Source organism: Homo sapiens, chromosome 1 (assembly GCF_000001405.40).
Source record: "Homo sapiens chromosome 1, GRCh38.p14 Primary Assembly".
NCBI lineage: Eukaryota > Metazoa > Chordata > Mammalia > Primates > Hominidae > Homo > Homo sapiens.
In genome coordinates this window covers 54,624,217-54,651,549 of record NC_000001.11, presented here as the reverse complement: position 1 = coordinate 54,651,549, position 27,333 = coordinate 54,624,217, and the positions used below count along the sequence as shown (strand labels likewise).

Below are 27,333 nucleotides of genomic sequence, written 5' to 3'. Positions count from 1 at the left end.
CCGTTCCACCCTTGCAGAGTTCTTTTGACTTCCTCCAAAGAGGCAGGCTCTCCCAGTTAGGTCTGGGTCTTCCACAGGCTGGGCATCCATCTCCACTCCCCTTCCCCAGCTAATGACTGCTGCTTCACCCTTTCAGGTTTCAGCTCAAATGCTAAGAGCCTTCCAGGTCCCCTAGACAGGTGGGGGCCACCTGAAAGTTCTCAGGCCACCTTGTTCCTTCCCGTCTCTTGGCTCACGGTATCTGGCTTCCCCACTAGCCAATGAGCTCCACTGATGCAGAAACTGCATCTGCCTTGTTCTCTGCCAATTTCTAATGTCTAGTATAGCACCTGGCACACAGTAAATGTCCAAAGCCCGTTTGTGTTATTTCATTATTTTTCTCTCTTCTTTGTTTGTAGTTTTTGTTTTGTTTTTAATTTCTTTTGGCAAGGGGTGAGGACAGAACCACACAGTGGTGGTGGGGGAAGGGCCAGGGAGATGAGAGAGCTGGGGAAGAGAAAAGAAAATGCAAGAAACAGGGAGTGCAGCTGGGTGCAGGGGCTCACGCCTGTAATCCCAGAACTTTGGAAGGCGGACGCAGGAGGATTGTTTGAGTCCAGGAGTTTGAGACCAGCCTGGACAACATAATGAGACTCTGTCCCTACAAAAAAATACAAAAATTAGCTGGGTGTGGTGGCATGTGCCTGCCGTCTCAACTACTCAGGAGGCTGAGGTGGGAGGATCACTTGAGCCCAGGAGGTTGAGGCTACAATGAGCTGTGATCACGCCACTGCATTCCAGCCTGAGTGACAAAGTGATACCCTGTCTCAAAAAAAAAAAAAAATCGGGATGGCGATCAACATGCATAGGGAGAAATACTAAACATTGGTAAGGAAAGTAGGGAGATAAGAGAGGAACAAGGAAGGAAGGGAGGAGAGGAGAAAGGCAAGAGGGAAGAGAAGAAGGAAGAAAGGAGAGGTAAGAGAAGAAAAGGGAGGGATAAGGGAGAAGAAAAGAGGCAGTAAAGAGGAGAGGGAAGAGGAAGGCCAGAGGGAAAGGAGGAGGAAATAAGAGAAGGGCAATGGGTGGCAAGGGGAGACTCTTCTTCATTTGATGAGGTATTCTTTCACTAACTCATTTCATCACTTCTTCATTTATCATTCATTCATGTGCTAACTCATTCAGTGAATCATTTACTCACTCCACAAATTTTGCTGTGTATCTTTATAGCATGGCTTTGGAAAGACCATATATTTCTTCATGTAGTCCTGAGTTTAAAGCCCAGCTCAACCTCTTGCTAGTATGGGTGAACATGGGCAAGAGACTTTTCCCCTCTGGCCCTTGTCCTCCCCATCTCTAAGATAGGGAACACATAAAGCCTTCCACAGGGGTGATTGTAGTTACAGTGCCTGGCATGGAGTACATGGCCCACCGAAGCCCTTAACTAAATGGTAGCTACTTGTTTTATTCCTCTCTGCCAGGCACTGTGGGCAGAAAGGAATAAGGCACTCAGCACCCAGTGGAAGCTGCCTTCATTCCAAGCAAGTTCCTGCATAGCTCTGCATCTGCCTTGGAAGCAAGTTCCAAGCAAGCAGTTCCTGCACAGCTTTGCATCTGCCTTGGAAGCAAGAAATGCTCACTTACCATCAGCACCAGAGGCAATTTTACCCTGAATGTAAAATTTGATTGCTCCTTGATTTCACAGTCCCTTTCCAAAGCCCTGTACTTAATTTCATGTCCATAATTTTGTCTCTTCTTACTTAAGGAGGAGCGTGAATCTTCCCTTAATGATCTCTGCCACCCGTGTGTAAACGTGCCACATGCACACACACAGGACCATAGTCACCAAAGGGAGGCATTTTTAACCTGGAAAATATGGCTTGTTGCAGCCTACGAGGCAGTGATTAAGATCTTCAAAGACCTAACTTGTTTGGGCTGAGGAAGAAAGACTTCATCTCTACCCCAGCAGATGCACCATACCAGGTCACTGGGCAGAAGGCCACAGATCTCAACCCCAGCTGACCTACCCCCAGTCCTCCTCCTCCATCCTGCAACAGACAGGCAAGTCTTCAGAGCTGCCTGGCAGTGACTGGGGTAGCCCATGGCTTGCCCTCTACCAAACAGACACTGTGCATTAGGAGGAGCCGTGGCTCTTGAGGGGCTTGGGTGGGATCTACAGGAGCTAAAGGAGCTCACTACTCCCTGCTGACAGCCACAAACTGCCTGTTGGCCTTTGCCCTGCAATCCTGGAGCCCCAGATGGAAAGGTCAGAGCACACCCATAAAACAACTAGTGCTGTCTAAGACAGAGAGAATCATTAACCAATTGCCATCCTCCCTTCTCCACCTCAATTAACCCTTCCAGGCCCTGGACAAGGGTTGCTAGAGCCTTCAAGGGGTGGAACTATCAATAGATTGTCCAGTTCATCATTGAGAACACACTGTTATCAGATGTAAGGGCCTGGAATGTGTTAGACACTTGTGCAAGTACCTATACACTCACACACATTTGCACACACAGAACAGCTGAGATTGGAGCACCTCAGACCCAGAGCATCCAAAACAGACTCTCCATTTTTCCCCTAAATAGGACTCTTCTATTCTCCTCCATTGCAAGGAACTGGCACCATCTATCATCCAAGCCAGAAACAACATCCTCCTTGAGTGCTCTCTTTCTCACTTGCTGCACCCAATTTTGGCCAAGTTCTGCTAATTCTGGCTCCAGAACAGCTCTCAAATCTCTCCCCATTTCTTCATCACGACTACCAGACCCTACTCCAGTTCCCATTGTTTTGAGGCTGGATCTTGGAATTGCTTGCTCAACAGGGGTCCCTTTATCTAGACCAGCTTCCAACAAACCATTTTCCAAAGTAAGCCATAGAGATCTTCCTTCAAAATTGCATGCAGACCAGGCACAGTGGCTCACACCTGTAATCCCAGCACTCTGGGAGGCCGAGCTGGGTGGATCATCTGAGGTCAGGAGTTCGAGACCAGCCTGGCCAACATGGTGAAATCCTGTCTTTACTAAAATACAAAAAATTAGCCAGGCATGGTGGCACCCGTCTGTAATCCCAGCTACTTGGGAGGCTGAGGCAGGAGAGTTGCTTGAACCTGGGAGGCAGAGGTTGCAGTGAGCCGAGATTGCGCCACTGCACTCTAGCCTGGGCAACAGGAGCGAAACTCCGTCTCAAAAAATAAATAAATAAATAAATAAATAAATAAATAAATAAATAAAATTGCATGCAACAGTGTGGTACTGACATAAGGATAAATATATAGACTAATGGGATAGAATTGCAAGTCCAGAAATAAATCCATGCCTATATGGTCAAATGATTTTTGACAAGGGTGGTAACTCCTCCATTAATAGGGAAAGAATAGTGTCTTCAGCAGGGCATGGCGGCTCACGTCTATAATCTCAGCACTTTGGGAGGCTGAAGTGGGAGGATCACTTGAGCCCAGGAGTTCGAGACCAGCCTGGGCAACATAATAAGACTCTATCTCAAAAATAATAACAATAAAATAATTAAATAAATTGTATGTTCAAAAATAATAGTCTTTTCAACAAATGTTTCAACAAATGGCAGTGGAACAGCTGGATATTGACATGCAAAAGAATGAAGTTGAACTCCTATCCCACATTCTTTTTTTTTTTTTTTTTTTTTTTGAGATGGAGTCTCACTCTGTCACACAGGCTAGAGTGCAATGGCACAATTTTGGCTCACTGCAACCTCCACCTCCCAGGTTCAAGCGATTCTCCTGCTTCAGCCTTTCAAGTAGCTAGGGCTACAGGTGCCCACCACCAAACCCAGCTAATTTTTTTTTTTTTTCAATACAGAGTTTCACCCTTGTTGCCCAGGCTGGAGTGCAATGGCACGACCTCAGCTCACTGCAACCTCCGCCTCCTGGGTTCAAGTGATTCTCCTGTTTCAGCCTCCCCAGTAGCTGGGATTACAGGTGCATGCCACCACACCCGGCTAATTTTTGTATTTTTAGTAGCGACGGGGTTTCATCATATTGGTCAGGCTGGTCTCGAACTCCTGACCTCAGGTGATCCACCCACCTTGGCCTGCGAAGGTGCTGGGATTACAGGCGTGAGCCACCATGCCCAGCCTTTTTTTTAAGTAGAGACGGGGTTTCACCATGTTGACCAAGCTGGTCTCAAACTCCTGACCTCAAGTGATCCTCCTGCCTCAGCCTCTCCAAAGTGCTGGGATTACAGGCAAGATCCACTGCACCCAGCCTCCTATCCCACATTGTATACAAAAATTAACTCAAAATGCATTAAAGACCTACATGTAAGAGCAAAAACTATAAAACTCTTGGAAGAAAACATAGGAGTAAACCTTCATGATCTTGGATTTGGCAATGGTTTCTTAGACATGACACCAAAAACATAAGCAACAAAAGAAAAATATAGATAAATTGGACATCAGCAATATTTAAAACTTTTTTGCTTCAAAAGACACTGTCAGCCAGGAGCTGGGGCTTATGAGAGCCAAAGGTGGAAACAACCCAAATAGCCACATACTGATTAATGGATAAACAATATATGGTATGTCCGTACAGTGGATTATTCAGCCACTAAAAGGAATGAAGTACTCATGCATGTGAAACATGGATAAACTTTGAAGACATTATGCTAGGTGAAAGTAGCTGGTCACAAAAGACCACATATTATACGACTCCCTTTATATAAAATATCCAGAATAGTCAAATCTACAGAGACAGTAGATTAAAGCAGGACAGAGAGAGGTTGCCAGGGGAAGGGGAAAGCAGGGAATGGTAAGTGACTGCTTAATGGGTATAGGGTTTCCTTTTGGACCAGAAAAATATTCTGATAGTAATGATGGTTACACAACCTTATGAACACAGTAATTGTCACTAATGGTCAATTTTATGCTGGGTGCCTTATACCACATTTTTTTTTAATGGATGTGATAGACAAGGTTGTCAATTCACTTTTCTCTGTTCTTCCCTTCTAAAAATAACTAAATATTTTGGAAATAGTTCAACAGACAACCATAAAAGGATTCTGATGGCTGGAAAGAAGGCAGTGACTGACTAGGCATCTCAGGACTTGAAGGCTGACACTATGGTGAGTTCCCTGGAGTTTTCTTTTCATCACTCACATAACCCAAACTGGGCACCACAGAAGCCTGACACACAGATCTGCCGACAGCATAAACACACACTCAAAAGTAGAAGAAAAACTTGCTTTCTCCAGCCAAAAAGACCCGGAAAGAGGAAGCCCAACAGAGAGGGTCTCCCAGTGGGGAGCCCCAATCCCTTCTCCATACCTGGAGCAGTGACAGACCAATCCAACCTGCAGTGGCAATGTCAGCAGAACCCTGGATCTCTGGGCCCTCCACCCAGCATCAGACATTTTACCAGACCCTACATCTTCTGGCCTCCCCCACCCACTCCAGTGATAACAAGTGGCCCAGGGAAATGCCTTCTACCCCTGTAGGCAGCACCAGCAGGAATAAACAGGAGCCCCGGCAATACCAGAAAAATGAAGCAAATGAGGAGTCATAAATATCACTGGAGACCGGGCCTGTGCCAGGACTGTCAGAGTACGGAACAGTGCCAAGAACTTCTCTACTTTAAAATAACTTTTGGCTGCACGCGGTGGCTCATGCCTGTATCCCAGCACTTTGGGAAGCAGAGGTGGGTGGATCATTTGAGCTCAGGAGTTCAAGACCAGCCTGGGCAACATAGCAAAATCCCATCCCTACAGAAAATACAAAAATTAGCCAGGTGTGGTGGTGTGCGCCTGTAGTCCTACCTTACTCGGGAGGCTGAGGCAGGAGAATTGCTTGAGCCCGGGAGGCAAGCCTGCGGTGAGCCAAGATTTTGCTGTTGCACTCCAGCCCGGACAACAGGGAGAGAGTTTGTCTCAAAAAAAAAAAAAAAGAAAGAAAGAAAGAAAAGAAAAGAAATATCATTGGAGCTACAGTCCACAAAAGTAGGCCAGAACCTACAAACTAAACCTTAACACGGTGGCTCACACCTGTAATCCCAGCACTTTGGGAAGCCAAGGCAGGCAGATCACTTGAGGTCAGAAGTTCAAGACCAGCCTGGCCAACATGGTGAAACCCTGTCTCTACTAAAAATACAAAAAATTGGCTGGACATGGTGGTGCATACCTGTAATCCCAGCTACTCAGGAGGCTTGGGCAGGAGAATCACTTGAACCTGGGAGGTGGAGGTTGCAGTGAGCCAAGATTGCACCACTACCACTGCACTCCAGTTTGGGTGACAGAGCAAGACTGTCTCAGAAAAAAGAAAAAAAAAATCTTAATGTAATACCTAAAATGTCAAAGATGCAGTAAAAATCACTCATCATACCAAAAACTAGGAAAATCTCATCTTAAGACAACCAACCAACATTAACACTGAGATGAATCAGATGTTGGAATTTTTGACAAGGATTTCAAAGCAGTCATCATAAAAATGCTTTGGCTGGGCATGGTGGCTCATGCATGTAATCTCAGCACTTTGGGAGGCCGAAGCAAGCAGATCTTTTGATGCCAGGAGTTCAAGACCAGCTTGGCTAACATGGTGAAACCCCGTCTCTACTAAAAATTCAAAAATTAGCCAGGTATGGTGACAGGTGCCTGTAGTCCCAGCTACTAGGGAGGCTGAGGCATGAGAATTGCTTGAATCTGGGAGGCAAAGGTTGCAGTGAGCTGAGATTGCACCACCGTACTCCAGGCACCAGCCTGGATGACAGAGTGCGACTCCATCTCAGAAAAAAAAAAAAAAAAAGTTATTTGGCTGGACATGGTGGCTGATGCCTATAAGCCCAGCACTTTGGGAGGCCGAGGATCACTTGAGCCCAGGAGCTCTAGACCAGCCTGGGCAACACAGTGGGACCTCATTTCTATTTTTTTTTTTTTACATTAAAAAACAGAAGAAAGAAAAATCGGCCAGGCACAGTGGCTCATGTATGTAATCCCAGCACTTTGGGAGGCTGAGTCAGGCAGATCACCTGAGGTTAGGAGCTTGAGACTAGCCTGGCCAACATGGTGAAACCCTATCTCTACTAAAAATACAAAAATTATCCAGGCATGGTGGTGGGCACCTCTAATCCCAGCTACTCATGAGGCTGAAGCCAGAGAATTGCTTGAACCCAGGAGGTGGAGGTTGCAGTGAGCCAAAATCATGCCACTACACTCCAGTCTTGGTGACAGAGCAAGACAGGAAAGAAAGAAAGGGAAGGGAAGGGAAGGGGAAGAGAAGAGAAAGAAAGAGAGGGAGAGCAGGGGAGGGAGGGAGGGAAGGAAGGAAGGTCTAAACAACAAAGAGAAAATAGACCCCCCTCCCCACCCCCCAAAAAAAACCAGAACCTCAGGAATCTGTGGAACAATAACAAAATAATGTTTATATCATCAGAGTTCCAGAAGGAGAAAAGAGAGTGCTGAAAAAGCATTACTAGCAAGTCATGACTGAAAACTCCCCAAATTTAGTAAAAAACATAAATATACAGATCCAGAAAACTGCTGAAACTTCAAATGGGATAAATCTAAAGGAATCCATGCCAAAACACATCATGATTAAACTTCTGAAGAATAAAGACTTTAAAAAAAAATCTTAAAAGCAACCTGAGAGCCTTACCTATAGGGGAACACCAATTTGAATAACAGCATATTTCTCATCTGAAACTATGGAGGCCAAAAGGAAGTGGCACATATTTTTCAAGAGTTGAAAGAAAATTCTCAACCACACATTCTATAATAGGCAAAATTATACTTGAGGAATGAAAGGGAAATAAAGACATTCTCAGATGAAATAAAAATGCATGCAAGTCTAACCATGACATTCACCTCTTGTAACCCTTATGTGACTTCTTGTAGGTGTTCAAATGTTGGGGTGTGGGTGTAGCTTATATTTTTTAAAAGATAGATTCCCAAGCCTCACTCTCAGAGACTCTGCTTTGTAGTTCTGAAGGGATCCAGGAATCACTCTTTCATGAAGCTTTCCCTTACCTCCCCTCTCCTAAGCGACTTTTGCATGACTGGTGGACAGGCCAGGAGTGAAGACACCCTAATCTGAAGTCTGATATCTGTGTTTCTTCTGTCAGAGTCCTCAGCCCACAGGCCTAGCCCCTCCATCTCTCCAGCTAGATTCATTCCCTTCCCTGGCCTTGCACCACGTTTGAACCACTCTCAACTTCTTCCAGGATCCTCAATGTTTTGGCCTCCCTCTTGCCTTGGGACCTTTGCAAATACTCTTTCCTCTTCCTATAAACTTCCCCAAGACTATTCACCTAAACTTCAATTGCTCCCTCTGGCTAACATCTAGTCTAGTCACATTTCAGACACCAGCTTAGATTAGATGTCCCTTCCCCCAGGAAGTCTTCCTGGAATCCCCAAATGTGGGTGAGGCACCCTCCTCATGTGATCACTCTGTATCAGAGGATCAGTCTGTTTACTTATATGCATCTACTCTGAAAATGAGTTTGGTGAGTGTCTGGCTATCTTGTTACCCCTATTTTCCCAGCACATAGCACATGGCACACAGGGAAGGTTCAGAAAACATTCACGGAGTGAGGGAAGGATGAATGAATGAATGAATGACAACTCTTCAAGAAAGATGTCATCATCTCATTCATTGGCATGTTAGTTCAGACTGTGCAGGAATCTAGTTATTTCTGGCCAGGCACAATGGCTCACGCCTATAATCCCAGCATTTTGGGAAGCTGAGGCAAGAGGATTCCTTGAGCTCAGGAGTTCAAGGCCAGCCTGAACAACATGGCAAAACCGCGTCACTACAAAAAATACAAAAATTAGCCAGGCATGATGTGTGCACCTGTAGTCCCAGCTACTTGGGAGGCTGAGGTGGGAGGGTCACTGGAGCCGGGGAGGTTGAGGCTGCAGTGAGCTGTGTTCATGTCACTGCACTACAGTCTGGGTGACAGAGAGAGACTCTGTCTCAAAAAATAAAATAAATTGATTTCTACTAATTCCCAAGCAAGTGGTAGAGGCTGGATTCAAATCCATGTTTCTTCAACCCACAGTTTTCCCTATAATACCATAGAGATTCCCAAGACATGAATTACTCAGTGGAACCATGTCTTCCTGTTTCTTATTCCCCATTCCCTCTGCCACTTTTAGGTCCTTATCCTAAAGGAAAAGTTCAGTGAAAACAAGGCAACTTTCCTGATACCCAGCTATAATGCCAACATCCAAGGCTTTGGAGTCAGGCAGACCTGAATTCAAAACCTTCTCTCTCACCAGCTGTGTGGACCTGGACAGATGCCCTCATGACTCTAAGCCTCTATCTTAATATTCCAGATGAGATAGCCCACATAAAGTGATGATCGCAGGGCCTGGCCCACAGCAAGTCCTCAATAAATGTTCATCCCCACCATCCCTTCCTCCCCTGGGTGAGGGCAGGCTGGGGAGACTTGGAAAAAAGACAAAGTATGGTTTCCAGGCTCCAAGACTCTTCTTTCCCCAGATTTATGGCATTCCCTCCCTGCATCTTTTCACTCCCTTCCCCTCACCTCCCCCCAACTCCCAGCCACTACACTGTCAGGACCTGAGAGCCTAAACTTTCTGTGAGCCTTGGGCTGCTCATGTAAAGTTCAATGTGTTACCTTCACCTGGAGCATCCACATGGTAACAGAAAATCCAGCTCTAAGCCAAAGATATGAAGTTCTAACTGTGGAATACAGCCAGAGCAGGAGACTTGTACCCAGAAGTGCGGGAAGGTGGTAACTCCCTTGTGGGAGGCTGTGGAGACTGCCCCCACCCCTAGGACTTTCCCAGAGCTGCCCCTCAGCTTACCTAGGCTTCCCCAGCCCAGGCCAGTGTTACGGGCTTTATGAGGTCACCATGACCCAGAAGTCCCTCAGCCAATGAGACCCCTGCTCCCACCTATATAGTGGGGAGAAGAGATGGGGTCTTTTCAAAGAACTACCTGCCCTGAGACTCTCTTCAGCCTCCCGGAAAGGACTTCACTGCTAATAAACACTGAGTTTCTCATCCAGAATTCAAGTCTTCCCATAAAAACCCCTCACCATATGACCTTGGACCTCTGTGTATTTCAGGGTGACAAGGGCTTTGAAATCAGGTGGTCTGTGATGAGGCAACTGAGACCCATAGCGAGAAAATATTGGCCCAAGGTCAGGAGCTAGGATGCCTGCCTGTCCTTGTGCACTCAAATCCTTGATCTTTTTCCTACTCCACCCTAACTCCTGTTCCAGGCACAGATAAGTGCGTGGAGCAGGGCAGGAATGAGGGTGGGGCAGGCCGGGGCACAGCAGTGTCATCTAGATCTTTTGATAAGAAAAGCAAGACTCTACGGCTATCTTTCTAAAGAAAATCCTTTTGATGATGAGCAATAGCTCAGCTAATTAAGATGATTGGAGACTAGATACTAATAGAAACTTCACTGGGCACCATTTACAAAATGATAATGGAATCTTCCCATCTTCCTGTTCCCCCAGGTCAGGATGTCCTTAGATACACTGCATAACCTGTTGTCAGACAAGCTGCCTAGAAGTCAGCCTCATCCGACTCAGTCCCCACACTTGACTGTGACTTCACATTAGTGAGCAGCTGATGGGCTCTCCTGAATTCCCTCCAGTCCACCTAGGATCTCACTTTTTCTGCTTCTCTCCTCTCCTGTCCAAATCTGGACAGGGGGTCCCCTGCACCCCCAGTCTCCTTCTGCTGCTTCAGAGGCCTTGTGTCATCGAGGATTCCTCCTCCACTTGCCCCTTCCCCAGCAAAAATCCTTCCTTTGGCTGGGTGCAGTGGCTCATGCTGTAATCCCAGCAATTTGGGAGACCGAGGCAGGAGGATCACCTGAGCCCAGGATTTCAAGACCAGCCTGGGCAACATAGTGAGACTTCATCTCTACTAAAAATAAAAATTAAAAAATATCAACCAGGTATGGTGGCATGCGCCTGTAGTCCCAGCTACTTAGCAGGCTGAGGTGGGGGGAATCACCAGCATCTGAGAGGTCGAGCTACAGTGAGCCAAGATGGTGCCACTGCACTACAGCCTGGGCAACAGAGCAAGACCCTGATTAAAAAAAAAAAAACAAATTCTTCCCTCAAACTTACTTCTTTCCCCAGCGTCCCCTCCCTCACTCTTTATCTCCAGTGAAAAGCCTCTTCCAATGATCGTTTTTGACTCCTCCCTCTTCCTCTCTGGCCTCCTGCATGTAAACTCCCAAGTCCTTCCAATTTTACCTCCAAATCCTTGGCCTCCAACCTCACACCCTCCATCCTAGCTCAGATCTTCGTCATTGAAAGCCCAGATTCTGGCCAGTCCTGTAAATAATGTCCCACAGGGCAGGTGTTCCCCTCTCCTAGCCACCCGCATTAGGCAGAGAGGCAGCTTCCCTGACAACTCATTTCCCCTCTTAACACCTTCAGCGTCCTCCACTGCTGCCAGGGTCACGTCAAGCTCCTTAGTCTGGCATTGAGGCCCCTTCACAGTCTGCCCTGCCTGCCTGTCCATCTTGTCTCTGCTCCCTTTTGATTTTTAAGTTTGTACTGAAGCAAAAAATTGCATATGTCATGTCTATTTTTATGAATTTTCACCAAGTGAGCACACCCATGAAACCAGCACCCAGATCCAGAAATAGAGCATTACCAGGACCCCAGAAATCCTCCTCATGTCCTACTTCCAATCGCTATCCTCCTCGTCAGGGGAACAGCTATCCTGACTTTTAATATGGTTTGCCTGTTTTCATACTTCATATAAATGGAATTATAAAACACAGACTCCTTTCTTCTGACTTCTTTGGTTCAATTATCATGTTTGTGAGATTTTAAATATCCTTTGCACCCGGTAGCTATTTATTTTCTTGTAACTGTCGGTTTCCCTTTAGGTTCTCCCTGTTTTTGCTCTCTTTCCAGAGTCTTCAGGAGGTTTTTTGTTTGTTTTTGTTCAGAGCTCATAATTGTTACCGGTATGAAGGTTGATCTGATAGGAGCTACTTCGCCTATTACAAGCAGAACCTCTCCTTTTTCATTTTTATTTTGTTTTTCTCTTTTCTCACTTTGTTTTGGATCATTGAATTTGCCTTTCTTCTCGTACTCCTTTATTTCCCTTTCATTTGTTTGGAAGTTACATATTATATGTCTATTCTTTTTTATTTATCTTTTGAGACAGGGTCTCACTCTGTTGCCCAGGTTGGAATGCGGCCTCAACTCCACCCCCTGCCAGGATCAAGGGATCATCCTGGTCTCAAGCAATTCTCCTGCCTCACCCTCCCAAGTAGTTGGGACCACAGGTGCATGCCACCATACTTAGCTAATTTTTTAAATTTTTTTGTGGAGACTAGGTCTCCATATGTTGCCCAAGTGAGTCTCATATATATCTACTTTTTTCTTTCTTTTTTTTTTTTTTTTTTTTTTTGAGACAGTATCACTCTGTCACCCAGGCTGGAGTGCAGTGGTGTGATCATGGCTCACTGCAGCCTCGACCTCCCTGGACTCAAGCAATCCTCCCACCTCAGCCTCCCAAGTAGCTGGGATTATAGGTGCATGCCATCATGTCTGGCTAATTTTTTAAAATTTTTTTGTAGAGACAAGGTTTCACCATGTTGCCCAGGCTGGTCTCAAACTCTTGAGCCCAAGCGATCCTCCCGCTTCAGCCTCCCAAAGTGCTAAAATTACAAGCATGCACCACTGCATCCAGACTGTATACATCTATTCTTAACATTCAAACTTTAGTGAGCAAAGTCCAAAATTAATTAATACTGCTACCTTCCTTCAAGAAACAAATAAAAAATGGGCTGAGCACAGTGGTTCACACCTGTAATCCCAGCACTTTGGGAGATCCAAGGCAGGAGGATCACTTGAGGCCAACAGACAGGCCTGGGCAACACAGTGAAAGTGTCTCTAAAAACAAACAAATAAAACCTCCAAAAACAAAAAAAAACACAGGGACTGGAGAGGCACAGTCGCTCATGCCTGTAATCCCAGCACTTTAGCAGGCCAAGGCGGGCAGATCACTTGAAGTCAGGAGTTTGAGACCAGCCTGGCCAACACAGTGAAACCCCATCTCCACTAAAAATATAAAAAGTAGCTGGGCCTGGTGGCGCACATCTGTAATCCCAGCTACTTGGAAGGCTGAGACACAAGAATTGCCTGAACCCGGGAGGCCGAGGTTGCAGTGAGCTGAGATTTCGTCACTGCACTCCAGCCTGGGCAACAGAGCAAGGCTGTCTCACAAAAGAGTTTCTTAGTTGTAAACTCCTTTAGTTTTGTTTGCCAAAAAATTATAATTCTCATTCTCAAAACATTTTCACTGTATGTAGGAGCCTAGCGTGGTATTTTATTTTAGTACATCAAAGCTAATGTTCCACTGCCTTCTGGCTTCTGTGGATTCTGTCGAGAAGTTAGTCTGCCACCTTTTTGGTGATCAATCTATTCATGCCCAGCCCAAATCTATTTTTTCTGGCCGCTTCTAAGATCTTTTACTTTGGGCCAGATGCAGCAGCTCATGCCTGCAATCCCAGCACTTTAGGATGCCATGGTGGGAGGATAGCTTGAAGCCAGGAGTTCAAGACCAGCCTGGGCAGCATAGTGAGACCCTCTATTTTAATTTTTTTTTAATTTTAATAAAAAATAAGATCTTTTACTTTGGTGCTCTACAATCATATTATGCCACATATAGGTATGGATTTTTTTGTATTTTTCCTATTTGGAATATTTGGTGTTGATCAGAAAATTCGAAAAGTTTTCTAGAAATTGTTTTTTTCCCATTCTTTCTCTGCCCTGTGCAACTCTGATGAGTTGCACACTAAGCCTTCTTTTTTTGAGGCAGAGTCTCGCTCTCTTACCCCGGCTGGAATGCAGTGGCACGATCTCTGCTCACTGTAACCTCTGCCTCCTGGGTTCAACCAATTCTCCTGCCTCAGCCTCCCAAGCAGCTGTGATTACAGGCACCCACCACCACACCTGGCTAAATTTTGTATTTTTAGTAGAGAGAGATGGGGTTTCGCCATGTTGGCCAGACTGGTCTCGAACTCCTGACCTCAGGTGATCTGCCCACCTCAGCCTCCCAAAGTGCTGGGATTACAGGCGTGAGCCACCACACCTGGCCTAAAACTCTTTTTGTTTTGAGACAGAGTCTTACTCTATTGCCTGGGCTGGAGTGCAGTGGCATGATCTCAGCTCACTGCAGCCTCCACCTCCCATGTTCCAGCAATTCTTGTGCCTCAGCTTCCTGAGTAGCTGAAAGTACAGAGGCACACCACCATGCCCGGATAATTTTCATATTTTTAGTAGAGAAGGGGTTTCACCATGTTGGCCAGGCTGCTCTTGAACTCCTGAACTCAAAAGACCCGCCCACCTCTGCCGAGACCAGCTCGGTCACTAACTCAGCAGCGCTAGAGGAATTAAAGACACACACACAAAAATATAGAGGTGTGAAGTAGAAAATCAGGGGTCTCACAGCCTTCAGAGCTGAGAGCCCCCAACAGAGATTTACCCACATATTTATTAACTGTGGGGAAAAGAGAGATCAGATTGTTACTGTGTCTGTGTAGAAAGAAGTAGACATAGGAGACTCCATTTTGTTCTGTATTAAGAAAAATTCTTCTGCCTTGAGATGCCGTTAATCTGTAACCTTACCCCCAACCCTGTGCTCCCTGAAACATGTGCTGTGTCAACTCAGGGTTAAATGGATTAAGGGCTGTGCAAGATGTGCTTTGTTAAACAAATGCTTGAAGGCAGCATGCTCCTTAAGAGTCATCACCACTCCCTAATCTCAAACCACTCCCTAATCTCAAGTACCCAGAGACGCAAAATACTGCAAAGGCCGCAGGGACCTCTGCCTAGGAAAGCCAGGTATTGTCCAAGGTTTCTCCCCATGTGATAGTCTGAAATATGGCCTCGTGGGAAGGGAAAGACCTGACCATCCCCCAGCCCGACACCCATAAAGGGTCTGTGCTGAGGAGGATTAGTAAAAGAGGAAGGAACACCTCTTTGCAGTTGAGATAAGAGGAAGGCTTCTGTCTCCTGCTCGTCTCTGGGCAATGGAATGTCTGGGTGTAAAGCCGATTTACTTTACATGGAATATACTTCCATCTACTGAGATAGGGGAAAACCGCCTTAGGGCTGTAGGTATGACATGCGGGCAGCAATACTGCTCTTTAAGGCATTGAGATGTTTATGTGTATACATATCTAAAGCACAGCACTTAATTCTTTACCTTGTTTATGATGCAGAGACCTTTGTTCATGTGTTTACCTTCTGACCTTCTCTCCACTATTATCCTATTATCCTGCCATGCTCGATAATGATCAATAAATACTAAGGGAACTCAGAGGCCGGTGCCAGTGTGGATCCTCTGTATGCTGAATGCTGGTCCCCTGGGCCCACTTTTCTTTCTCTATACTTTGTCTCTGTGTCTCTTTTCCAAGTCTCTCGTTCCACCTAACGAGAAACACCCACAGGTGTGGAGGGGCAACCCACCCCTTCATTTAACAGCAAACCAGTCATTAGCATTGTTTCTATAGATATTAAATTAACTAAAAGTATCCCTTATGGGAAACAAAGGGATGGGCTGAATTAATTGCAGCAGGAACACACCCGTAAGACACAGATCGCTCATGCTTTTGTTTGTGGCTTAAGAATGCCTTTAAGCGGTTTTCCGCCCTGGGCAGGCCAGGTGTTCCTTGCTCTCATTCCCATAAACCCACAACCTTCCAGATTGGGCGTTAGGGCCATTATGGACATGTTTTAGTGCTGCAGAGGTTTTGCTTATGGCCAGTTTTGGGGCCAGTTTATGGCCAGACTCTGGGGGGCTTGCTCCCAACATGTCTCCCTTCTTCGATTTGCAAAGAGACTCTCGCAGGAGTCGGGATCCGCATCTGCAGACTATACAAAGGCAAACAACAGATTAAAAAGCATAGTCATCATTGAAATCACAGAGCTTCCAAGTGTTTTTACCCATTTAAATGGGTTACTAGCTGCTAATTTTTCTGCAGCTCCTTTAAGCACTCTGGTTCCTGGCATTAAGGTCAGGTTGCCCGGGATGCTTTACATATTTGTTCTTTTAATTTTGCTATATCCAAAAACAAGTTTGTAGAGTGTCCTTCTAGATACTCTTTTATTCTTTCCCAAATTTTGATCTTATTAAGAGCATTTAATAGTTTTTACAAATCCTTATGTTTAGCTCCTAGAGCGGGCCATATTATTTGAGGTTGAGGTGCCACTATACCGCCATGGTTCCAGATAATAGGAACTTTTGCCGTACTTAACATTTCTACCATCTGACTGTTTTGTTCAGATCATCTGAACATAGTGTGACCGTGGCATGCAGACTGAGAGGTGCAATTCAAGCTAAACATCCCCTTGGGGGACCAATTAGTAATGATTCCATAGGAATCGTTGTGCAGCATCTCTGCCTATTCTGCAAAGCAATCTTCCTAAATAAGTACGTTCATTTTTTCTAACTGGGTCCAATCCTGTTTACAAATAGGTTTTTGAGGGTGGTATGCCTCAATTATAGGAGCCGATTTATTATGGTAAATACTGAGATCAGAAAGCATGTGTAACTGTGTCATAGAATGATTGCATCCAGGCATTATTACCAGCCCTTATTGAAGGAATACTCACGGCAGTGGTGATAACTGCTATCATAGCTACCATTAAATTATTCATTGTGACTGGTTGTCCCGCTTTCCTCAGGTTTTCTTCCGCCATCTGTGACAGCTTCTTGATCTGTTCTTAGCGGGGTGGCTGTGTTCGACGGGTGTTGCTCATGATAGTTGGAGTCCTCCTCAGCGTCAGTCTCTACGTGGCTGCAACCAGGGGGTCCTCTGGATCCTCCCAGAGTCTCTTCCTTGGCATCTGGCTCATGATAAGGTTTCAGGTGTCTTGAAGGTATCCAAATCGGCTGTTGATTTTGGCCTGGAGAAACGCAAGCATAACCTCTACCCCAAATTATTATTTTACCTATTTCCCAACTTTTTGTTATTGGATCTCTTCACCAAATAATGCTAGATTCAATTGTGTATGGGCTGTTCTGTAATCCCTATTTTTCCACCTTTTTTGTTTTTATCATCAGTTGTTCATCGGTATGAAATCATAACTGAGCATTTTCAATTAACTGTGTGGAATGAACCACATATGAAGAATCAGAAATCCCATTAATAGGCATATCAAAAGCAGTCAATACCTCAATTACCGCTACAAGCTCCGCTTTTTGAGCTGAGTACAGGACGTCTGAAAAACTTTACTTTTTGAGCCAGAATAAGAAGCTTTACCATTACTAGACCCATCTGTAAAAACATTCTCAGCACCTTCAATTGGTTTAAATTTAGTTATTTTAGGGAGAATCCAATTAGTGAATTTTAAAAACTGAAATAGCTTCATTTTAGGAAAATGATTATCGAGAATACCCACAAAGTCAGCTAAATGGGTTTGCCAAGTAAGACTATTTATAAAAGCTTGCTGTATTTGTGCCTTTGTGAGAGGGACAGTAATTTTTCCAGGATCATATCCATGTAATTTAACAATCCGAGTTCTCCCAATCCCTATCATAGTAGCGATTTGATCTAAATAAGGAGTTGGAGTCTGTGAATTAGTATGTGGAAGAAAAAGCCACCCTACTAAGTCCTGTTCTTGGACAATAACACCAGTAGGTGAATGCTGAGTTGAAAAGATTAGCAAATCTAGAGTCTTCTCTGGATCTATTCTATTTATCTGAGCTTTATGGATTTGCTTCTCAATCAGTTGTAACTCTGCCTCAGCCTCTTTTGCTAATTGCCGAGGGCTAGTGAGACTAGGATTTCCTCCAAGGATAGAAAACAGATTACTCCTGGCATAGGTAGGAATGCCTAGAGCAGGTCGTATCCAATTAATATCCCCTAGTAATTTTTGAAAATCATTTAATGTTTTTAGTTGACAGTGAATAATGTAACACTGTGGAAATTTTTTACGGGTAGGTTCAATTGCTTGCCCCACATATGTCTGGCAAATTGTTGGGCTGTTTGGCATGCACTGTGGCAACACTTTTCAATGATAACACTTAGCAGGCTGCAGGTTGTTTAATGCAGGAATTGTAAATGCAAACTGTTCGCAGTCTTGCTCAGCTAAAGGTATAGTAAAGAAACAGTCTTTTAAATCTATGACTATTAAAAGGCCAATTTTTTGGAATTATAGCAGGAGAAGGCAATCCTGGCTGTAATGCTCCCATAGGTTGTATAACTGAACTGATGGCTCTTAAGTCAGTTAACATTCTCCATTTACCTGATTTTTTCTTAATTATGAAAACTGGAGAATTCCAAGGAGAAAATGTTGGAGTTATGTGCCCATTTTCTAATTGTTCAGCAACTAATTTCTCTAAAACCTCCAGTTTTTCTTTACTTAGTGGCCAATGTGCTATCCAAATTGGCTTATCTGTTAACCATTTTAAAGGTATAGGTTCTGGAGGCTTAACAATGGCTGCCACCAAAAATTTTTTCCTAATCTTTAGCAGGAACTTTGTTTTTCTGGGAACTTTGTTTTTCCGCTTGAAGTGGTTCTTTCAAACCTTGCAAATCTTTTTCTAGTCCCATACCAGGGACATACCCCATTTCATGCATTGTATGCTGACTTTGAGGGCTGTATGATTGTTCTGGAATTAGAACTTGTGCTCCCCATTGTTGTAATACATCTCTTCCCCATAAATTTATAGGTACAGAAGTTATAATTGGTTGAATAGTCCCAGGTTGTCCATCGGGCCCCTCACAATGCAATATATAACTACTTTGATATACTTCAGCAGCTTTACCAACTCCAACTATGTTAAATTGAGCGGGTTGAATTGGCCACGCAGACAGCCAGTGCTGTACAGAAATGAGTGAAATGTCCGTTCTTGTATCTACCAAACCTTTAAATTTCTTTTCTTGAATAGTTATTTCACAGGTAGGACGTTTATCAGTAATTTGATTTACCCAATAAGCTGCTTTGCCTTGTTTATTTGTGCTTCCAAATTCTCCTGTTCGTTTAATTTCACTTTTTCCCATTCCCACATACGGCACAACCAGGAGCTGTGCTATGCGCTCTCCTGGCTCTGCTTTCCAGAGAACAGAAGTAGATGTAACAATTTGGATTTCCCCACTGTAATCTGAATCAATGACTCCTGTATGTATTTGTATACCTTTTAAACTTACACTAGACCTTCCTAAAAGTAATCCTATTGTACCCACTGGCAAGGGTCCACAGACTCCTGTTGGGACCCTTTGCCGGGGTTCCGCAGGCAGAAGGCTCACAGCTTTTGTGCAGCATAAATCTACTGCAGCACTACCGGCTGTGGCAGGGGACAGACATTGTACAGGGGTGAGGGAATGGCCTGAGCCAGAAACGCCCCGGTTTAGAGCGGGGCCCGGGACGGGCCCCTCATGGCGTTTCCTGAAATTGGGTTCCCTTCTTTATCCAACTTAGAGTGACACTGACTAGCCCAGTGTTTTCCTTTTTTACATTTTGGACATATTTCAGGATCAGCAGTTTTCTTTTTTCCCCTATCTGGTGGCCTGACTCGCTGATTTTTTCTACATTCTTTTTTAGTATGACCACGCTTCCCACAGTTAAAACAAGCTCCAGGAAATGGAGTATTTCCTTTATCCACTCTCAGTCCTGCCATTGCCATTGCCAACAAGGTAGCTTTACGCAGATTACCTCCGATACCATCATAGGCTTTGATATAATAAACTAAATGTGCTTTCCCTCTGATAGGTCGCAGAGCAGCCTGGCCATCGGGATTAGCATTGTCGAAAGCTAATAACTGCAACACTGTATCCTGAGCAGCCGAATCTGCAATCATCTTTTTAAGAGACTCCTGTAACCGAGCTATAAAATCAACCTATGGTTCCCTTGGTCCCTGCTCTATAGCACTAAAGGAAGGGTATTGTTCCCCACCTGAAGTGATTTTTTCCCAAGCTCTAATGCACACTGCTCTAAGCTGTTCCATGGCATCATCCTGCATGACCACTTGTGCATCGAAACCAGCCCAGCCGCCAACCCCCGAAAGTTGGTCTGCAGTCCTATTAATTTGAGGTTGGACCTGGGCATTGCGAGCAACCTGAATGGAAGCTTCATCTGCCCACCAAGTTTTAAATTGTAAGAACTGAGCAGGAGTTACACAAGCTCAAGTAAGAGCGTCCCAGTCAGTAGGAATCATCTGACTGGAAACAGTAACATTCTTTAACAGTCCAATTACTAAAGGAGAACCTGGTCCATACTCATTTATTGCTTGTTTTAATTCTCTGAGTAATTTAAAAGGAAAAGGCTCAAATGTAGCTGTAATACTTCCCTGTTGATCTGGGGGGTGTATTCTAACAGGGAACTGCCAAGCCTCTAAATCACCCTCTTGTCTAGCTTGCTGAATTCCTGCCTGAATAGAACTAAGAGACGTCGCTCAAGGCGCTGCTCGAACAGTCACTGGGGCAACTACTTTTCGCCCAGTGTCCTCCGGAAAAGAAAGATCTGGGGAGTCATTTTCTTCAAAATAATAATGAGGGGATGCAGAAGGGTAGGGATGAAACTCTCCTTCCTTTGCCGCTTTAGCTTCAGCTGGCAAATAAACATGCTCTGTAACCTCTTCTGTTACTTCGCTATACTGTTGTTCCTCCTCGTTATCAGTGTGAAAAAGTTCTAAGGTGAAACGAACCAGACCCCATACCCATCCCATTGTTACCCTGACGCTTCCGGACTCCCCTTCTTACTCACCACGGGGATTGCTTTAAGAGTACTCAGGTGTCCTCCAGCTAGTTTTCCATTCCAACCGTCGCTCCTGCGACCCTTTGACCTGGATTCGAGCCCCCAGGAATAGAAGCCACTTGCCGAGACCAGCTCAGTCAGGGAGACCCTAACCCAGCAGCACTAGAGGAATTAAAAGACACACAGAGAAATATAGAGGTGTGAAGTGGGAAATCAGGGGTCTCACAGCCTTCAGAGCTGAGAGCCCGGAACAGAGATTTATCCACGTATTTATTAACAGCAAACCAGTCATTAGCATTGTTTCTATAGATGTTGAATTAACTAAAAGTATCCCTTATGGGAAACGAAGGGATGTGCCGAATTAATTGCAGCAGGAACACGCCCTTAAGACACAGATCACTCATGCTTTTGTTTGTGGCTTAAGAATGCCTTTAAGGGGTTTTCCACCCTGGGCGGGCCAGGTGTTCCTTGCCGTCATTCCCGTAAACCCACAACCTTCCAGCGTGGGCATTAGGGCCATTATGGGCATGTTACAGTGCTGCAGAGATTTTGCTTATGGCCAGTTTTGGGGCCAGTTTATGGCCAGACTGTGGGGGGCTTGCTCCAAACCCACCTAGGCCTCCCAAAGTGCTGGGATTACAGGTGTGAGCCACCACCACACCTGGCTTGTTTTTTTTATTTCTTTAAACATTAAACAGGCCAGGCGCAGTGGCTCACGCCTGTAATCCCAGCACTTTGGGAGGCCAAGGCAGGTGGATCACGAGGTCAAGAGATCGAGACCATCCTGGTCAACATGGTGAAACCTCGTCTCTACTAAAAATACAAAAAAATAGCCAGGCATGTTGGCAGGCGCCTGTAGTCCCAGCTACTCAGGAGGTTGAGGCAGGAGAATGGCGTGAACCCGGGAGGCAGAGCTTGCAGTGAGCTGAGATCGTGCCACTGCACTCCAGCCTGGGCGACAGAGCAAGACTCCGTCTCAAACATAAAAATAAAAATAAAAAAATAAACATTAAACAGGCTGGGTGTGGTAGTTCATGCCTTAATTCCAGCATTTGGGGAAGCCTAGGTAGGAGGATGGATTGAGTCCATGAGTTCAAGACCAGCCTGGCAACATAGTGACACCCTATCTCCACACACAAAAAAATTAGCTAGGCATGGTGGTGCACAGCTGTAGTCCTAGCTACTTGGGAGGCTGTGGTGGGAGAATAGCTTGAGCCCAGGAGGTCAAGGCTGCAATGAGACATGAACACATCATTGCACTCCAGCCTGGATGACAGAGCAAGACACTGTCTCAAAAAAATCAAAAAACAGGCCGGGCACGGGGGCTCGCGCCTGTAATCCCAGCCCTTTAGGAGGCTGAGGCAGGCGTATCACGAGGTCAGGAGATTGAGACCACCCTGGCTAACACAGTGAAACCCCATCTCTGCTAAAAATACAAAAAATTAGCCGGGTGTGGTGGCATGTATCTGTAGTCCCAGCTACTCAGGAGGCCGAGGCAGGAGAATCACTTGAACCCGGGAGGCAGAGGTTGCAGTGAGCCGAGATCGCGCCACTGCACTCCAGCCTGGGCAACAGAGTGAGACTCTATCTCAAAACAAAAAACAAAAAAGAAAAAAACCATGTTATTTTACTTTTGATAAGTTTGTATTCTGAATACTTTGTGGGTCTGATTCTGCTGTTTACATCATCTCTTGGTTTTCACCCATGGTGCCTTATTTTCTTATGATTTTTGGGGTTGTTGACAGGGAACTGCTTATTTTCCCTGAAATTTTGTCTCACAATTCCTTGAGGCCTGGATTAAAGCTGTGTTCTTCTTCTTTTTTTTTTTTTTTTTTTTGAGACGGAGTCTTGCTCTGTCGCCCAGGCTGGAGTGCGGCAGTACAATCTCGGCTCACTGCAACCTCTGCCTCCCCGGTTCAAGTGATTCTCCTCCCTCAGCCTCCCAAATAGCTGCGATCACAGGCATGAGCCACCACACCCCGCTAATTTTGTATTTTTAGTAGAGACGGGATTTCGTCATGTTGGCCAGGCTGTTCTCGAATGCCTGATCTTGAGTGATCCGCCCGCCTTAGCCTCCCAAAGTGTTGGGATTACAGGCATGAGCCACTGCACCCAGCCTCTATCTTCCTCTTAATAAAACATGTTTTTGCTTGTAGTAGTTATCTTGGGGCACTACCGACATGAAACTACTTTAAATAAAATTCCACCATTTAGAGTGCTGAGACCACCTAAGCAGTACAAATTCATGACAGTGTCAAAATAGGCAAATGGGTTTCTTTTTTCCTTTTTTGGGGGGGGGGGGCGATGGGGTCTTGCTCTGATGCCCAGGATAGAGTACAGTGGCACCATCCTCCCACCTCCTGGGTAGCTGGGACTATAGGCATGCACCACCATGTCTCGCTAATTTATTTTTTTATTTTGTAGAGATGAGATCCCTCTGCATTGCCCAGGCTGGTCTCGAGCTCCTGGGCTCAAGCAATCCTCCCACCTCAGCCCCGCAAAGTGCTGGGATCACAGGTGTGAGCCACCAGTTCTAAAAATGACAGCTCCATGTCTGAAATGTTGGAGCCTCTGAACCACCCCTGGTTTCACCTCCCCTGTAACATGCAATGGTATGGGAGTGGGGAGAGTATCAGAGTAACCCACATAACACAGCCTGAGGCACACACTTCCCTGGGCCATTTGCTGTTCTAAGCAATGCAGTGTGGGAAGTCCTGTGGCTCTGCCGGGGTGCAGGGGTGAGCAGTGCTGAAACAGGACAGCCTGGATGCAGAGGCAGTCAGGCCTCCAGAACCATTTCTCAACTCCAGCCTCCAGCCACCTCCCAAATGCAAGCTGAGTGTGGCGCTCCCTGCTTATCCCATGGGTAAGGGCTCCCCAACCCATCCAGGTTGAAGCCAAATTCTTTATCAGGGTGACCCAGGCCTCCGGGGCTCCCCAGTCTCATTTCTCTCCCCCTCCGCCTCCCCACATTTCCCACCTGCTGCTCCAGCCACACCACTCACGCTCCCAAACAGGCTCTTCTCCCTCATGCCTGTGCCCTCTCCCACACACACTGCACCCTTTGTCTGGAAGGTCTTCCCTAGCCCCCGTCCCTGATGGTTCTCCGAGTCAGCCAAGCCTCTTCTGAAAGCCTCCTGGCCCACCCAGGAGTTTGGGGTTTCTAACCTGTGTCTTCTCCATCCTGCATGCCCCAACCTGGGCCCACTGCCACTTTCCATGTCTGACATCCTTACAGGCTATAAGCCTGCTCTGTGTTTTTGATGTGCACCAGCTCTATTAATAAAATGGCTGTTTCACATCTGAAATGCTGGAGCCCCCTGACAGCCCCTGCTTTCTTCTCTCCCACAGTATGCCACGGGGTGGATCCCCAGAGCCTAGCACAGTGCCTGGCACAGAATGCATGCTCAGTAACTTGTTTAGTAATTTATGCCCCACGAGAAGTGTCACAGACAATGGAGGAGTCTTCACAGCTTGGAGTCGGTTCCAGGGCTGTTCCTCCTGCCAAAAACCAGAGCCAGATGAAGTCTCTTTCCTCCCAGACATCCTGCAGAGCTCTTTGGAACCAAGAGAGTGGCGAAGCTCTGTGCCTCAGAGCTCGGCTCGCCGGCCTCTTTCCCAGGGAGGACAGGTGACACACGGCCCGCGGAGTTGGAATGACAGGGCATGGGCATCCCTTTCTGCTGCAAACTGACTCTGGCTCCCTTCTGTGAAAAAGGGGCATAAGAATGCCTTCCTCGGCTGGGTACAGTGGCTCACGCCTATAATCCCAGCACTTTGGGAGGCTGAGGTGAGTGGATCATTTGAGGTCAGGAGTTCGAGACCAGCCTGGCCAACATGGTGAAACCCCGTCTTTACTAAAAATACAAAAATTAGCTGAGCGTGGTGGTGCGCACCTGTAATCCCAGCTACTTGGAGACTGAGGCAGGAAAATCACTTGAACCCAGGGGGCAGAGGTCACAGTGAGCCAAGATTGTGCCACTGCACTCCAGCCTGGGCAACAGAGCAAGACTCTGCCTCAAAAATAAATAAATAAATAAAAGAATGCCTCCTTCATAAGAGTGTCACAAACACTAAATAAGCAGCAGTTCCAAAATGAGAATGGTTTGTGCAGGGGGTGCCCTCATGGACCGTAAGAACTAAGTTCTTGATTTTTCTTTCAAAAATAGATTTGTCCAGCATTGCTGTTAAATATTCTTGCCAAAATAAGTGACTGTCCCATTGTAAATGGGTGTGAATAAGAAGGGACAAGTAGATGGATAAAATCAGGCAGATAGGCCCACAGTCAGCCTGACCTGCATTTGAACTTAACATAGAGGTGACTTGGGACAAGTCTCGACCTCTCCAAGCCTTGATTTCTTTGCCTGCAACATGGGGACATGAGAGTCATTTGGCAGTGTTGTGTGACAAGTGGATGAAATTAAAATGTGGGACACTTTGTAGGAAATCACAAATAATATTATTAATAAAAGCAGAAAAAATGCAAGCCAGACTAGGTGAGACTTATCAGTATGGGGCTTGGGGACAACCCTGGAGTCACATTGTATAATTCTAGTGGTTTGTTGTTCCTCTAGACTTCTTTTCTTTTCTTTTCTTGTCTTTTCTCTTTTTTCTTTTCTTTTTTTTGAAACAGGGTCTCACTCTGTCGCTCAGGCTGGTGGTCAATGGTGCAATCTCGGCTCACTGCAACCTCCACCTCCCAAGTTCAAGCGATTCTCCTGCATCAGCCTGTACTGTAATCCCGAGTAGCTGGGATTACAGGCTCGTGCCACTATGCCCAGCTAATTTTTGTATTTTAGTAGAAACAGGGTCTCACTCTGTTGGCCAAGCTAGTCATAAACTCCTGACCTCAAGTGATCCGCCCGCCTCAGCCTCCCAAAGTGCTGGGATTACAGGTGTGAGCCACCATGCTGGCCTTTTCTTTTCTTTTTTTCTTTCTTTCTTTTTTTTTTTTTTGAGACAGAGTTTCACTCTTGTTGCCCAGGCTGGAGTGCAATGGCACAATCTCGGCTCACCGCAACCTCCGCCTCCCAGATTCAAGCCATCCTCCTACCTCAGCCTCCCGAGTAGCTGGGATTACAAACACGCGCCACTATGCCCAGCTAATTTTTGTATTTTTTAGTAGAGATGGGGTTTCTCCATGTTGGTCAGGCTGGTCTCGAACTCCCAACCTCAGGTGATCCGCCCACCTCAGCCTCCCAAAGTGCTGGGATTACAGGCATGAGCCACCGCGCCTGGCTCAGCATTTTCTTTTCTTTTTTATGGCCAACTCTTAAACAGAAATTTCCTCTAGACTTTAACTGTAGAGTAAAGCATATGTGGTTGTTACTCGAGATGTAGCTTCTGTCATTCTGTTAACTTTTTGCGGCTATCATAATATCCCAGTTAACACACCCTTCCATGCCTTATTACAGAAGGGATCTGGGTGAGGCCCAGTTAGCATTTGGATCCTGGAGTCCGGAGTGGGTGGCCTGAGAGAGCAGCCCCAATAAGAAAGGGGACTCACAAAAATGTTCCTGCTTGTCTACAGCCCCCTTACTGTCTCCTGAGCAGACCCCAGAGCACTGACCCTGCTCCATTCCAGCCAGCAGCCCTGACACCTCACCAGGGCCTGGCTCCTGGCAGCTGCTGAGTTTGTTGAGTTGATTTGGAGAATGAGCCAGAAGCCCAGACAGACTAGATCTCCCTCTCTCCAGAGGTTCCAAGAACTGAGAATTGAGCCTGGGCTCCAGGGCTGGCTCTGCCTCAGGTGGCCCATCACAGTCTCACATTTCCGGATATACACAGTGGTGGGGAGGGGGTGTTGAATGGGGTCCTGTCCATCTAGCAGCCCACAGCTTGGGTCTCGTTGGATCCCTGTAGGCATACCACACATGCCCCGACCAGCCAACAGAACCTCCCTGTCCTCAAACCTCTCCCTCATTGTCCCCCTTCACCACATCACCTCCCAACCAGCACCCCCAGACTCACCACTCACAATGCCCACCGTTCCCCACATCCTACAGAATAGCACCCCCTGAGCACCAGGTCCTCCTGCTCCCATCCTCACTTTGTCCCAGTGCCTCTCCCTCCTGTACCTTCAGCCTCTCTGGTCTTTCCTGGCCCCTCTAAACAGGCTCTGCTCTGACCTCTGCCCTCCCCACTGATCCAGGGAAACTGTCCTGGCCAGCATCGGGGGCCTTGCTGTCCTTACAGGGCTCCATCTCCCAGCCTGGCTGACCACTCCTTTCTTCTTGACCTTCCCATTGACACCCCTCACCGCCCTCTGCTGTCCCCTTTCCTCTACTAATGCCTCTTCCTCCAACTCTCCGCCTGTCAGTGGTCCCCAGAAGTCAGCCTCCATCCCTTTCTCTCTTTGCTTTGGCCAGAAAATGATGCTCATGCCCTTGTCTTTGGCCCTGATCTCAGTCCTGAGCCCACAGCCTCTATATCCAGTTCCCTCCTCGGGAAGGCCGAGGCAGGAAAATGGACTCAGGAATGACCCACGACAAGCCCCATGACCAAAATCCCTCCCACCCTGCCCCTCCACCCCTCAGTCCCGACCATCTGCCCACCTGGGCATCATTCTAGACACCCTTTCACACACACAATCAAAGCCACCAACTGCCCGGCTCTGCCTCGGGTGGCCTATCACAGCCTCACATTCCAGATCTCTCTGTGAGCCCCAATGTGTAGACGC

At 46.3% G+C, this 27,333-nt stretch overlaps 2 protein-coding genes and 1 long non-coding RNA gene across 8 annotated transcripts in view, besides 4 other annotated features; all 3 read right to left on the bottom strand.

Annotated features, from left to right (window-relative positions):
• The window catches only part of MROH7 (maestro heat like repeat family member 7), a 68,481-nt gene extending 58,717 nt beyond the window's left edge, over nt 1–9,764 (bottom strand). For 3 of the 4 annotated variants that reach the window (NR_111931.2, NM_001039464.4, NM_001291332.2), the window contains exon 1: nt 9,582–9,764. The gene's annotated coding sequence lies outside the window, so the exon portion shown is untranslated. The remainder of the gene's footprint in view (nt 1–9,581) is intronic. The other variant, NR_026782.3, reaches the window with a different exon arrangement.
• The window catches only part of MROH7-TTC4 (MROH7-TTC4 readthrough (NMD candidate)), a 100,918-nt gene extending 91,108 nt beyond the window's left edge, over nt 1–9,810 (bottom strand). For all 3 annotated transcript variants that reach the window (NR_037639.2, NR_037641.2, NR_037640.2), the window contains 1 exon segment: nt 9,582–9,810. This is a non-coding gene — a long non-coding RNA (MROH7-TTC4 readthrough (NMD candidate)).
• Nucleotides 7,408–7,608: a silencer, noted in NCBI's record as "peak242 fragment used in MPRA reporter construct". NCBI's record gives its function as "represses an SCP1 promoter by STARR-seq MPRAs in K562 erythroleukemia cells {active_cell/tissue: K562}" and the evidence as "EXISTENCE:reporter gene assay evidence [ECO:0000049][PMID:32103011]".
• Nucleotides 10,192–10,704: an enhancer, noted in NCBI's record as "H3K27ac-H3K4me1 hESC enhancer chr1:55106519-55107031 (GRCh37/hg19 assembly coordinates)". NCBI's record gives its function as "activates a minimal SCP1, AML or CMV promoter by ChIP-STARR-seq in naive H9 embryonic stem cells {active_cell/tissue: H9 hESC(naive)}" and the evidence as "EXISTENCE:reporter gene assay evidence [ECO:0000049][PMID:30033119]".
• Nucleotides 10,705–11,218: an enhancer, noted in NCBI's record as "H3K27ac-H3K4me1 hESC enhancer chr1:55106005-55106518 (GRCh37/hg19 assembly coordinates)". NCBI's record gives its function as "activates a minimal SCP1, AML or CMV promoter by ChIP-STARR-seq in naive and primed H9 embryonic stem cells {active_cell/tissue: H9 hESC(naive and primed)}" and the evidence as "EXISTENCE:reporter gene assay evidence [ECO:0000049][PMID:30033119]".
• Nucleotides 12,358–27,333, bottom strand: part of ACOT11 (acyl-CoA thioesterase 11) — a 90,965-nt gene continuing 75,989 nt past the window's right edge. The window contains exons 16-17 of the mRNA NM_015547.4: nt 20,664–20,816; nt 12,358–16,862 (exon numbers count right to left, since the gene is read on the bottom strand). Of these exons, the coding sequence (NP_056362.1) occupies nt 16,821–16,862; nt 20,664–20,816 (195 nt within the window). The 3' untranslated portion in view covers nt 12,358–16,820. The remainder of the gene's footprint in view (nt 16,863–20,663; nt 20,817–27,333) is intronic.
• Nucleotides 13,959–14,590: an enhancer, noted in NCBI's record as "NANOG-H3K27ac hESC enhancer chr1:55102633-55103264 (GRCh37/hg19 assembly coordinates)". NCBI's record gives its function as "activates a minimal SCP1, AML or CMV promoter by ChIP-STARR-seq in primed H9 embryonic stem cells {active_cell/tissue: H9 hESC(primed)}" and the evidence as "EXISTENCE:reporter gene assay evidence [ECO:0000049][PMID:30033119]".